This window comes from Homo sapiens, chromosome 3, assembly GCF_000001405.40.
Source record: "Homo sapiens chromosome 3, GRCh38.p14 Primary Assembly".
NCBI classification, from domain to species: Eukaryota; Metazoa; Chordata; class Mammalia; order Primates; family Hominidae; genus Homo; species Homo sapiens.
In genome coordinates, this window is record NC_000003.12 from 119829001 (window position 1) to 119843481 (window position 14481).

A 14481-nucleotide genomic window follows, 5' to 3' on the forward strand; every position below is an offset into this window, starting at 1 on the left:
AGGGTATATGACACAGAACCTACTCTCCAAAGCCAGGCTGACCACCTTTTCTAACAATCACTGAGGAACTATGCTAACACTTCATTCGTGACTCCTGACCTTCCTTAGATATGCCCTGTTTAAAGAAGTTTTACCCTTAATGATCATCCACATTCTGTGCATCAATAACCTAACATCAATTCCTGTCTAGACCACAGATTCCTCCAAGCCTTTCTCAGATAAAATGTTCATTTTCATGATTCATGCACAGGCTGCATTAAAAAAAAAATCCAGAGAAAACCTGGAACACCACAAACCCATGCTTATTGCAGCATGTCACATGCTCTGATGACACTCAGAACCTATGCATGACCATCATCCAACAGCATTTCCTTCTCATTTTCAGTATGGGAAGATAACAGGTAGAACTGTCATTCTGGTCTTCCCCAGGACTTATGGGAGGCACTGATCATCAGAAATTTATCTATCTGTTTGACCACTACATCAGCACCCATGCCAACATGGAGAGAGCAGCTCTGGCCACGGCAGCCATTAACTACACTGGCTGACATCAGTTTTACCTCATCTACATGGCCACCAGCCCATTTATGTTAATTTGCTCTTTAGCAAAATCCTATTTGGCATTAATGTGCAGATGTCCTTTCACTGACTACAGCCTGTGAGCTTGTGACATTGCCAAAACCAGTCTCCTCTTTCTTGGATAAATTCAACGACTGCTTGCATGATCACAGTAAAAAGCACAAGCCTTTTAAGTGAGCATAAAACCAGAAACAAATTCACTTTCTGAACAATAAAATTTGATAGACACCCATGCTCTTCAGACCTGTAATGATCTCATATTTTTCTCTTGAATTATTTTCAAATCACTTAATGAACATAATTTTAACGCTAATTATTTTGATTATAAATATCTTTGATATCGAAAGTCACAGTCCTACAGACATTCATCAAAAAAACTTTTGCCTGATGCAATGAGCTCCACTTAAAATCAAATCACACATGTCCTTGCTGAGAAGAACAGAGTTCTCTTTTTCAGAGGAAGACAAAGTACAGAGAGGGAAAAAGTAAAACAAAAAAAGGCAAAGTTCTATAAATTCAATACTCAATAGTAGGTTTAAAAGACCACCCAGCTTACTGACTGAGTAAAGTTACATTTCATAATCTCTACAATCCCATCATAAAGATGGACTGGCCCCTGGGCCAGGTAAAGTAGGAGGAGCTGACCTCTTGGTGGCTGGGAAGAAACTAGTTCAAGATCAGGAAACAAGACAACACAGATTACCACCTTTTTAGAAATAACTCAAGAAACAAATCTTGGCACATGCTTATTTTGTTCCCACCATCACTCTGTAAATTTATTTTACACAATGGAATCTGAATTAATGAGCTTTCTATTAAAATGTTTATTAATTTAAAATTCCGATAAATTGTCATTGGATTTAGTTTAGTGTAATTTCTGTAACTTTTCTTCTCAAACATTTAAATAGTGACTCCACAACATAAAAACAGCAAAGTTCATTTTACTTCTCCTTACATTCCCTTCCCGTTACATATGCACTGGTAAAGTGACGCTAAATGGCATTATGGTTTAAAAGAGAGGCTAAGATCATTTTCATTATAAATGATCTGACTATGGATCATTAACCCACTCTAGTCTCTTGTTTTCAACCAGAGATGCTCTTCTGAACTTCACACTGATACATCTTTCTTAAAACTAAACCAACTCTATAAACATTTATTGAGTATGAAGCCTACTTGTACAACTTAATAGCTGTGTGATTTTGGAACACGTTATTTAATCTATCTCTCATTTCCTCATTGGTAAAATGGTAGTAATACCACCCACCTATGAAATGAGGCCTATGAAGTGCTTAGCACAGTATCTGGCATACAGCAATTGTTCAATAGATGGGAAGGTAAAAGAGACATCTAAAAATACATATATTTATAATCTAGTGTGACTGCAATAACCAACATCATCACCAAAGTAAATACTAGTGACAGCATACTGCTTACCAATATGCCAGACACCACACTAAGTATTTTGCAGTCATGTCATTTAGCTCACACAGCAAATCTGAGAAATAGGTACAACTGTTACCTCTGTTTTGCAAATAGGAGAAAGGAAGCACAAATAGATTAAGGAATGTGCCCAAGACCATATAGCTAACAAGTAGGGGAGTGGAACACAGAGCACAAGGGAGGAGAATAATCCATCTTATGGGCAGTAGGTGGCAGCAGAAAAGATTTCCTAGCAAAAGAAGAAAAGAGATTAAGATGACTTTCATTTAGAACTAACCTCAATAAAATCACTGTGATTTCTACAGGCACATTTCTATTATCTGTAAGAGACTTTACATTAAAAGAGAAGAGTGGGCCGGGCGCGGTGGCTCATGACTGTAATCCCAGCACTTTGGGAGGCCGAGGTGGGCGGATCACAAAGTCAGGAGATAGAGACCATCCTGGCTAACACGGTGAAACCCTGACTCTACTAAAAATACCAAAAATTAGCTGGGCATAGTGGCGGGCGCCTGTAGTCCCAGCTATTCGGGAGGCTGAGGCAGGAGAATGGCGTGAACCTGGGAGGCAGAGGTTGCAATGAGCCGAAATCATGCCACTGCACTCCAGCCTGGGCAACAGAGCGAGACTCCGTCTCAAAAAAAAAAAAAAATAAGAGAAGAGTGAGTTTATGATAAGAAAAATTAAGATTAAGAGCACAGTTACTTTATTTTCAGTATGGGGTGTACAGAGATATAAGTGCTCTGCAAACAACTACAGAACTGACATTTCACTGACTTTGAAGCTTCCTATAAACCAATGCCCATTATCACCTGTCTAATGCTACTATGGAAAAACAAGTAAACAAAAAAATGCCCCCAAACCAAGGATGGACTTAAGAGGAAATAGAACAATCAGCTTTGTGGGGAAGGAAAGGAAGGTACAAAATCATCCCTACACACTGTGGTAGCTACTTTCCAAGATGACCCCAATGATTCATGCCTCTTGGTATCCATGCCTAATGCAGTCCATTCCCACACTGAATAGGACTGACCTGTGTAACTAATAGGATATTCCAGAAATAATGGTGTGTGACTTCCAAGGCTAGGACATAAAAGATACTGTGGCTTCTGCATTGCCTTCTTTCTTGAATTACTTAGTCTAGGGGAAGCCAGCTGCAATGATGTGAGATACTTAAGTAGCACTATGGAGAGGGCCACTTATTGAGTGACTGAGGCTTCCTGCATACAGGCAGCACATATTTGATAACCACATGAATGAGAGCCACTGTGGAAGCAGAGCTTCTGCCTCCAGGCAAGTCATCAGACGACTGCATCCCTGGCTAATGTTTTGACTATGTCATGAGACTCTGACCCAGAACCACCTAGCTAAGCTGCTTCTAAATTCCTGACCCATAGAAACTATGTGAGATAATGTTTACTCTTGTTTTAAATAGCTAAATGTTGGGGGGGTAAACTAATATGCAGAAATAGATAACACACATGTATATGTCGAAGAACTTAAATGCCATTTAGGGGTTGCACTCACAAGCCAATGAGGGAATCGCTGACAAAATCTCCCTACACAATTAGGTGTGCTTCTAAGAAACTGTACAAGACAAAAAAGGATTATATTAGATTTAATTCTTTTTTCCAGAATTGTTTTCTCAGGAATCAATTGTTTTCTGAAAAGTCTATGGCTCTATGGCTTTGTACCAGATGCTGCAAAGCAAATTGGCACATGTATTAAAACCAATTTTATTCTGTGTGACATAAGAGGTAAAACACAACTTAGGCAGTCCCACAGTGAAACCAAGGGTAGAACCCTTAAGTATCAGGTTCCCAAAAGAGTCCATGAGGCTGTGATTTTTGTCCTGGAGTAAATTTTCATATGTAAAATTCTATATCTGGTATCATAATTTCTTTTTATAGGACAGGATCTACAGCATTTTTTGTTTTGTTTGTTTGTTTTTTTCAGATTCTCAAGAGATCTGTAAGAGTTGGCTAGATAATGGAGTCATGGATTAATGGTCAACTGTCTCAATACTGAGGAAACTGCCCCACCCAAATGTTCAAGTCATAAACGCAGAATTTCTTGCCTTGATTCCTTGCTGTCTGCATCCCCCCACCCCCCGCCCACAAATGGTCCTGTCCATACTCCCTGTCCCAAATGTGGTTGATCAAAGGTGCAAATGAGGAACAGGAAGGAGAGTGAATGGAAGGTCTCCATTTACACCTACTGCCAAAGGATTTAAATAAAAAGAGAGTAGAAAACAAGGAAATGGGTTGGGAGGAGAAGACAGAAAATAAACATAGGAGACAGGGTTCCAAAGGCCCTGCCACCATGAATTAGTATTCTAGATCTGTGTGTCTATAAAAAATTAAATTCTTCTGATTTATTGAAATGCTCACTATCTGGCCCAGCAGCAACCACAGAAATGTTCTATTTATATTCTCTAATATAGTAGCTGCTAACTACATAAGGCTATTTATTTAAAGTAATTGACGTTAAAGATTAAAATTCAGTTCCTTATTTGCTCTCAACACATTTCAAGTTCTCAGCTACAAAATTATTAAACATTTTACTATTTATATTGTTGGCATATTAGTAAAATAACATATTTTAGACAAATCAAATGAGCCTTTTTGTGTTTTACATGCACTTTATAAGTACACTTGGAAACATTAGGTTGTTTTTTTTTTTTTTTTTTTTTTTTAGACAGGGTCTCACTCTGTCACCTAGGCTGGAGTGCAGTGGCGCAATCTCAGCTCACTGCAACCTCTGCTTCCTGGGTTCAAGGGATTCTCCTGGCTTCCCGAGTAGCTGGGATTAAACAGGCACGCACCACCATGCCTGGCTAAATTTTTTTTTGTATTTTTAGTAGAGATGGGGTTTCGCCATGTTGGCCAGGCTGGTCTCGAACTCCTGGCTTCAAGTAATCTGACCGCCTCCACCTCCCAAAGTGCTGGGATTGTAGGTGTGAGTCACTGCACCCCGCCAGGTATATTTTTATTCCCGTATTTCCTTTACTACGCTCTTGCCCAATAACAATCTCTTCCAAGCACATTTTACGTGTTTCTACTTATCAGGTATCCTCTTTCTATAATAGTTAGAAATGTCTTATGACAGGTCAATCTCTCTAGAAGATAAAATTAACAGCCTGGGAGATATTATTTATACTGTGTACCTAACTCAGGATGTTCCTACTCAAGCTGTTCCAAGTGGAAATGCTTCTACTGTAAAACTATGTCTTAGATATTAATGTTATTAACTGGCACATTAACAAACAAGATAATTACTCACAGAGAATCAAAGTATACCCTAAACTTATATTTAATTTGAAATTATAATTTACACTCATGAAATCAAAGTACACCTGCAAGGAAAAGATGTGGCACAGAACACTAAGGTAGCCTTCAGTGATTATAAAAATAGCAGTAAAATTCGGATGCCTGTGAGCCAACCCCATCCACCAGGATACCTGGAAGACCTGTCAATAAGACTGTTTATATTTGATCTGCTGGCAGCTGAGAGGTCTCAGTTCCCTGTGAGCTCAGGGAAAGGGCACATTGTATTTAAGAAGTTTGGCTGTTCAGGGTAGAAAACTGAAGGTCATGGGGACACACAGGTAACATTTTCACTGTTCCTTTAAGTTAAAATGCTTAATTTAGGAATAAAGAAAAAAAAGGACATATAAATAAAAGTAGGTGACTTCAGGCAAGGAACTGAGGAACACTTCAGGGACACACGGAAAAATGTCTGATAGGGAATTCCAACTTAATCCAGATTTTAAATTACTTTTAGAGGAGGGGAAAAACCGAGATAAAATTTTTGACTTGATAGGAGAGAACATGTTTTGCACAGAAAGCAAGAACTTCTAGAAGTGATGTCTAGGACTGCTCTGGTGAGAATAATGACTAAGCTGGTTTGATTTTAGGTATCTATATACAAACTCACAAAGTGAACCTGAAACCCTAACATGGGGTAGATACAATCTCATTGGTGTCAGTGAATTTGTCAAAATGGTATAGTTCAAAATGGAAGTCTGTATTTCAAATGCAGAGCCAACAGGAGGAAATGGATGCAACACTGTACCTAAAAAAGATGCACATATTAATTGGCTACCAAGTTGGTAACACCTAAAAATGTGTATGTGCACACATGCACACTGTACTTCCCCTACTCCCACTCTATGAGGACATGGGGCAATGGGGAAATAGAAAAGTACTTGTACTGACAGTGGGGAGTATGAACTGACAGCGGGACAAACTTTCAGAAAGCAATTTGACATTAAACTTTAAAATTCTTTATACTTTTTGACTCTACTTCTAAAAATTTAGAAGAATAAGTACAGCTTTATGCAAAGATATCTTCAAAGCATTTTTCAGAACAACAAAAACAAAAAACCCCATCTTCGACACAAACCAAAAGTCCAAGAATAAGAAATTAACTATGGTATAGCCTTAGGATATTGGTTGAATACTACAGTCTATACCTTCACCCTCTAAATAGCCTAAGCCCATTTTTTAAAAAACATGTCTCTCTGCCCATTCATATATAGACTAAAACATAATGTTATGTGTGATTATCTTTGAAAGTAGAATAGAGGCAATTTTTACTTCCTAAAATAACTATACACTATATGTTCTTGATAGACAAAAATGCCTGCTTTTTTGTTTTTTTTTAAAAAGTTGCAGACTTTTATGAAATTTAAAATCTATTTGGGTTAAGATAAAGAGAAAACAGGAAGAACAAGTTTACAAAGAGGAACAACAGGGCATGCACTGCAGCTTCTACACTAGACAGAATATGAACACAGCTTTCCCAATGTACACTGTAAAACTGGCCCAAAGACCAGGAATAATATTAGTAGTACCTGGGGAAAGGATGAGGGAGGGTAACTGTCATTTTAGAAAAGCAAGCATCTAATAAACTGACAATTTGCTTAACATTTCACCTCTCAAAAACAGTAGAAACAAACAATGAGAGAAATTATTCTGTGTTTAATTCTGCCCAACTAAAAAGAATTGGCTGGTATGTAGGTAACAGGAATTCTGGGGTGAAAATAATTGTAATTGTAAGACAAAGGGGCCACTAGCCATAGCAAAATCTGAACGAGACTATAGCCAAATGAATTTTTAGAAGTTTGAAGAACAAATAGGTATGATTTTGTGGCTAAAGTCTTCAAAGGAGGCTAATAACTAACAAGAAATAGAAAAGCATAAACAAAATTTTGATCAAGTAATTGCAAATAATCTCAATGCAAATAAAGTAACAGTAAGAGCTTTTCAAACCAAGATGAAGACAAGTTAAGCCTGCAGACCACGTAAAATGACAGACCTCATCCAAATGTTATCATGACTCCCCCTTCTGTTAGAAGGGTTTTCAACTTGAAAAGATATAATAAAAATCCTAATAAATAAAATGTGCCCCAAGGAAGGTGAGGGCAATCAAAAATTTTAAATGTCTTTAAACTCACAATCTATAGTCCAAGAAACAAATCTAAAACGGATTACAGAAACTCACAGCTTACAGATATTTAGGCACTAGAAATTTCCCCGTCTTAAAAACAACGGTTTGATTTCCATCTTTGATATGGTTACTTTTTTTTTAATGGAAAAAGGCTGAAAGTTTTCTTAAAACAATGAAGCATTTTACAAAGTGCTTTTTATAACCTCCTCCTATAAATGGGCATTTTAAAGGTTGGTCTGTAGTTAAGCAAACAAGAGGAATGACCAGTCACGAAGAGGAATGACCAATCACTAAGAGACCACCAGAAGAGTAATCTCTAGGAAACCCAGCCCAGTTCCAATGAATTTATCAGTAACTTGAATAAAGGCAAAACATTTCTAGTAGGCTCTGCCTTGTCCTCTTTGATATGTTTTATTAGTTGCTTGGATGGAGGTAAAAAACTGACATGTTTGTGAAATGTACAGATGACATACAATTGGGTAGAAAATCCAATACCCTAATACTTTAGAACAAATCCAGGATTAGGATTTAAAGCTGTCATTAGTATGGAGGGCAAGTTAGCTATCATTAACATTTGAAGGACTTTTACATGGAAGGATCTGGATGGTTCTGTTATAATTTCATAGTAGAATCACTGACTGGAAGAAGGCATACAGAAATAAATTTCAGGGTGAAAAAAGGATAAACTTTTCTTTCTTTTTTTGAGAGCAGTCTTGCTCTGTTGCCCATGCTGGAGTGCAGTGGCGTGATCTCGGCTTACTGCAAGCTCCGCCTCCCGGGTTCACGCCATTCTCCTGCCTCAGCCTCCCGAATAGCTGGGACTATAGGCACCCGCTACTACGCCCGGCTAATTTTTTTTTTTTTTTTTGTATATTTAGTAGAGACGGGGTTTCACCATGTTGGCCAGGATGGTCTCGATCTCTTGACCTCGTGATCCACCCGCCTCGGCCTCCCAAAGTGCTGGGACTACAGGCGTGAGCCACCACACCTGGCCAAACTTTTCTAATAGAGTGATGCAAAGATAAAAATGTGCTCATTCTTGCAATAATGTCTATTACTGAATATACATAACCATGGGATAGATGACCACTTCTCGGTAGATAATGAAAGGTGAACTGAAATCCATGGTTTTTAACAGCAGAACCATTGCATTGAAAGAAACTTTATGCTGATGACCAATATACCAAACAGATAAAACCAGAAAACTGCTCTAGTTGAAATTCCCTACAACATCTCACATTCAACTCATCTGAGCAGATGCTCTCTAAAATGGTTTGTATTTGATTAGGAAAATGATAATGTCTTGAGATTTATTACTTTAGATGTTCCAGATGAATGGTCTCCTAAATGGAGTGAATGAGATGACTGGGTGTACAAAGAAAATAAGACATATATAATATATATTTATATTTTATATATAAATATATATTTTATATATATAAATGTTGAACATTTCCTACGTTGACCATTCACATATATATATATATATATATATATATATTTCAGTCGACATAAGAAATTATACTATGAATTTTGGCTGGCCACAGTGGCTCACACCTGTAATCCCAGCACTTTGGGAGGCCAAGGCAGGCAGATCACTTGAGGCCAGGAGTTCGAGACCAGCCTGGCCAACAAAGTGAAACCCCGTCTGTACTAAAATTGCAAAAAATTAGCAGGGTATGGTAGTGCGCGCCTGTAATCCGAGCTACTTGGAAGGCTGAGGCATGAGAATCACTTGAACCCAGGAGTTGGAGGTTACATGAGCTGAGATCACACACTGTACTCCAGTCTGGGCAACAGTAAGACTCTGTCTCAAAAAAAGAAACAAAGAAATTATACTTTAGGAATTGATAGTAGTATGGGTAATTTTCAAGAGATTCTCATGTCAATCAGAGCCATGATTAACAATAATGTCTCTAGATACTAAAGCATTTTAAAAACAACTTATAAAGAATGTTTTTTAGGAAAAAAATCAACATCCATACCCACTAATTTAGCACAACAGTTTACAGTTTTGTATATTTCTGTCTAGTCCCTATCCACATGAAAATACACATTTTGACAATAGTAACCAACAAGGTTCATGAGATTTTAAAATTTTCTCTACATAAATTAGGATGAGTATTTCCATGAATGTCCACAAGCTTCATGAAAATTGTTTTTTATGGCTACATAAAAATGGAGATTCCACAATGTATTAAAACAATTTCCTACTGTTGACCATTCAGGTTACATTGGCTCTCCTTTTTGTTATATATTAATACATACTGTTTTATTATATGATTTATGATTATATATATTATGTGATTCCCCTCTCTGTATATGATAGCCTTTTTCTTTCCAATAGATTTATCCTGAAGTTAAAATCCCTAAAGTGGAATTACTGAACTAAAAATTCTGAATTCTGACAGCTCTTGTTTTATACTATAATGCTTTCCCACAAGTTTTTATCAGCTCACATACAGTTGCAGAACACAACAAAAGGAAAGTTGAAACATCTGCAAAAGCAGTTCCCTCAGTGTTAATGTCCTCAAACTTAATATTTGCACCATCTTTACCATTTTCAAAGGTGAGAAAGAATTGTGATATTTTGTTGTACTAGTCAAAGTTTGTTGGTGATGACAGAGAACAATTACATATTCCCAGAATTAGCACAGTATGATTTTAGGCCACAATCTGGGTATGAAAATGTCTATTTTCTTTTGCTTTTTCAGAAGCAGCAATATAGAGAATTAGATTTCTGCCTATAATGTATTTAAAATTTAATAAGACTTAAATATCTGAAAGCCATTTAACAGCTTTGGCTAACAACAGTAACTGACTAAAATCCAAAGCTTATTTCACCATAATATAGTCAGTATGATAATGGTTGATGGCATCTTTGTCAATATGCTTTGTTTTTCTGCTTTTATTCCACATACTTTAGGATTGAGCTTTGTTCCCAGGTCTACACAAATGTCAGAAAACTCCATTCTTGTTTAAGCCAGCTATAAACATAAAAAGTGTCCCAAGCAGTTTATCTAGGAGCCTCGGTATTCTGATGATCTTGCTCTAGACACAAATATACTTGACAGTACCTGAATTGCAATGATGCTGAGCAACAACAGGAATGGTATTTTAACAGATCAGATGATAATTCAGTTATGGTAGTCTTTTGAATTTGTATTTTAGTGATGTAAGGTCATTTTTAGATGATTTGGAGGCACATTCTCAGGCTACTGAAAACAGGTTAAGTATTATTTAAGTATTATTTTGCTTCTTGTTGATATGACTGTCATAAACTAAAAGTGGCTCCACCTCTAAGATACGAATCATTTTGATGTTATGTGCTCCATTACACTGATTTAAATCAAGTATGACAACTAGTTTAGTTACTTAGGGGTTCATATTATAATTAATTCGCCCCAGGGTATGTGGGGGTATATTACTGTGGTGATGTAGCTTAGATGGGTGATTAGAAATTCTTTGAAAATTTAAATTTGAAATATTTCCAGGTTCAGATATTCAAGGTCTAGAGCTTTATAGTTTAATAGTTTATTTATTTATTTTGTACTCTGGAGCAGATCCTGAAATGCTTTGTGAGGAAAGCTTCGGCTATGTCTGTAGCTTAGCAGTCCCTCACTCTGTCTGTGTGGAGAGATGCATGTCCATTTATCCAGGAAAGAAAAGTCATAGGTTCTTTTGTCATAAGAGGATGGATGTCAATCCTGCCCTCCACATGGCTTTTTAAAAAAAACATGTCTGATGCCGAGAATTTTTTTTTTTTTTTTTGAGACAAAGTTTTGCTCTTGTTGCCCAGGCTGGAGTGCAATGGCACAATCTCGGCTCATTGCAACCTCCGCCTCCCAGGTTCAAGCAATTCTCTTGCCTTAACCTCCTGAGTAGCTGGGATTACAGGCATGCATCACCACGTCCGGCTAATTTTGTATTTTTAGTAGAGACAGGGTATCTCCACGTTGGTCAGGCTCGTCTTGAACTCCCAACCTCAGGTGATCTGCCTGTCTCAGCCTCCCAAAGTGCTGGGATTACAGGTGTGAGCCACCGCGCCTGGCCGAGGACATATATATTTTAAGGTCTTACAAAAGAATGTAACTCACAATGACAAATTCTTATTTAAAACATACATGAATCTTAAACTACAGGCAGCCGGAAGGCCAAGCAATCAATCACTTGGTCTAGACCAGCATTTCCTGAAGTATGTTTGGTGACATACTTGGGCCTTCACTACTGCAGCGCCATAGAAAACTGTTTAACTATACTGTGGTTAAACTGTTTTTGGGTTACAATAAGGGGAACTTTAAAAAAAAGTATCTATTTGAAACTCACATTTTTTGTTAGAATGATGATGTTAAGTTCATTTACTGTATCTCTTTCAGTACCAAATCTGAGGCCCTAAAGGAGAAATATTTCTTAAACAGCAGGGCCAGAAACACCGTTTTTTCTAAGCCACCAGTGTGCTTTCAATCTAATGAACAATGGGAAATTTTAACAGAATTATAACACTTCTTTATTTACTTTAGCTCAGACCAATATCTGAAATATCCTCTTCGGTAACTATTAAGGTACTCAAGGCATGCATTTCTCTAAACTAATTTTAGCTCTGACCTCAGCTTACTATTCCTCTATTAACTATACCCCAATTCAACTTTGGAGTAAACTCTCAGAGTCAAAGTTCAATGTCAGTTTCTATTTTTATGTTGAAATCTGATTTCTATAGCTGTAAAAATATACACATGTAAATTATTATTATTTTTCAGTTTGCTGTAACCTGTATCAAAACAACATGAAAATCAGGTTATACTAGGCTCCTACTAAGCAGACAATTTGCTCAAAAACATAAGTCACAATCATTAATTAGTTCGCTATCTTGCATTAAGAAAGTTACTTTAAACTGCTCAAAACCTACTCATTTTTATACACAGTGTAAAGCCATTCTAGTAAAACTGTAGAAATGAGCTCAGTAAGTAAATGTGTTAGTTCAGAGTTAGGGCCTTTTTCATGTTGTGAACAATTAACGTAACCTGGGCCAGTATTAAATTTGTTAATGGCTTATAGCAATTCTGTCTTGATTCTAAACAGGTCATACTTTTAAAAAATCTTTTTACCTTAAAAATTTTAAAGCAGATTTCAGCACACTTTCTCAATCTGTAAAATGGAGTGGCAATGCTGTCCTAAAGTACAGACAAATAAAGACAAGTAAAGACAAATGTTGTCCTAAAGTAATTGCCACTCCATTTTACAGACTGGGAAAATGAATAAGACACTAATTAAACTAATAAAGTTCAAATTACTTTCTCAAGGTAGCATGTGCTGATAAACTTGGAACAAGAAAAGAGATCTTTCTTTCCAGACTTTTCCTGAACATGAACTAGAATGAAATGTTTTAAATCTTTATTAGCAACATTTTAAAAGTTTTAAGATTAGACAGAAACAACACCATCAAACAACAAGACATGGATTTTGACCTTACTGTTTAATGATAAGAACTAGTAATGAAAGATTTTATCTCCTGCAGCATAAATACCCTTAGGCAAAAATGGATCTGATCCAACTCAGTTCAAGACTATTTAAAGAAAATGAAGTCAGCTCCTGCCATTAGCTTTTTGGAGAGAGAGAGAAAAAAAAGGTGCCAAATTCTGAGCCCTTAACTGTGCTACCTATTATGTTTCTAACTTAAAACTTTTAAGTTTTAAAAGCATCCAGTCATTATTTGGAAGAATTTCACTTCACTCTTAAGGGTTGGATATTTTCAGAATATTTGCAAGGACACCGGTTCTCACTAAATCAGGCCCCACCATTAGCTGGCTTCAGGCCCTGCAGCACACCCTAGCTCTAACCCGTGAATAATTTTTTTTTGGTATATAAGAGTCTTGTCACATTCTGATCTAAATCTCAGTTAAACATATTTGCATTGCAGTTTTAGCCCTTTCAAATGATTAAAAAAATGATTAAATATAAGTATAAACTTATAATTTATACTTCTTGAAAATATTTGCCTCTCTAGTATACTACTGCAATTTACATTCGAGGGGAAAAAAACAAAAGTGTATTATTTTCAGTAACAACATATTTATATGTTTTCAGCTATAAACATCTCATTTGATTTGATTTCCTATTGAAATTATGTAAAAACCGTAACTTCAAAGATTTTTTAAGTTTATTTTTATTTTTTACATGGGGTCTCACTATGTTGTCCAGGATGATCTTGAACTCCTGGCCTCGAGTGATCCTCTCACTAAGATGACAGAATTTAACATTATCAGAAGATATTTATATCTTATATATAAGGTACCTGGGTGGGTGCTTTTGTTTTATGCTTTTTGGAAATAAAGCAAAAAATTTTATTCAGGTTTACTCATTTGGCTGTGCTGTTTTTGATATATAAAAGATATTAAATGTTCATACTCATCAAATGAAATGAAAGGTAATCATATCTTTTTGAAAAACAGAATTTTTTTTTTTTGAGATGGAGTCTTGCTCTGTTGCCCAGGCTGGAGTGCAGTGGCGCAATCTCGGCTCAATGCAACCTCCGCCTCCCGGTTTCAAGCAATTCTCCTGTCTCAGCCTCCCCAGAAGCTGGGATTACAGGCACCTGCCACCACACCTGGCTAAGTTTTTATTTTTAGTAGAGACAAGGTTTCACCTTGTTGGTCAGGCTGGTCTCAAACTCCTGACCTCAGGTGATCCACCCACCTCGGCCTCCCAAAGTGCTGGGATTACAGGTGTGAGCCATCATGCCCAGCCCAGAATATGTTTTTATAGAAGAGACTTAGAACGTTCTTACCTGACGCTGCTGTGGCATTTGTGGGGGTTGAAGCAGCTGCTTGAATCCGAGCATGAGGAGGAATAAGGATGGTAGCCAGAGGTGGATTACTTGACAGTTCTATAGAAGGTTAAGACACAAATGTTAGAGTCCACTCTTAACTTTGTATGCAAAACTATTTTATTGGTAAGAGTGAAAATAAGATTCTGCATTAAACTACCAGTTTATGCCGGGCGCAGTGGCTCACG

At 36.9% G+C, this 14481-nt stretch overlaps 1 protein-coding gene across 4 annotated transcripts in view; it reads right to left on the reverse strand.

The window, feature by feature from the left end:
• The window catches only part of GSK3B (glycogen synthase kinase 3 beta), a 273127-nt gene that overhangs the window by 7680 nt on the left and 250966 nt on the right, over nt 1-14481 (reverse strand). For 2 of the 4 annotated variants that reach the window (NM_001146156.2, NM_002093.4), the window contains one exon: nt 14255-14353. The exons of the other annotated variants lie outside the window; for them this stretch is intronic. In NM_001146156.2, coding sequence (NP_001139628.1) covers nt 14255-14353 — 99 coding nt within the window. The remainder of the gene's footprint in view (nt 1-14254; nt 14354-14481) is intronic. 4 annotated transcript variants of the gene reach the window in all.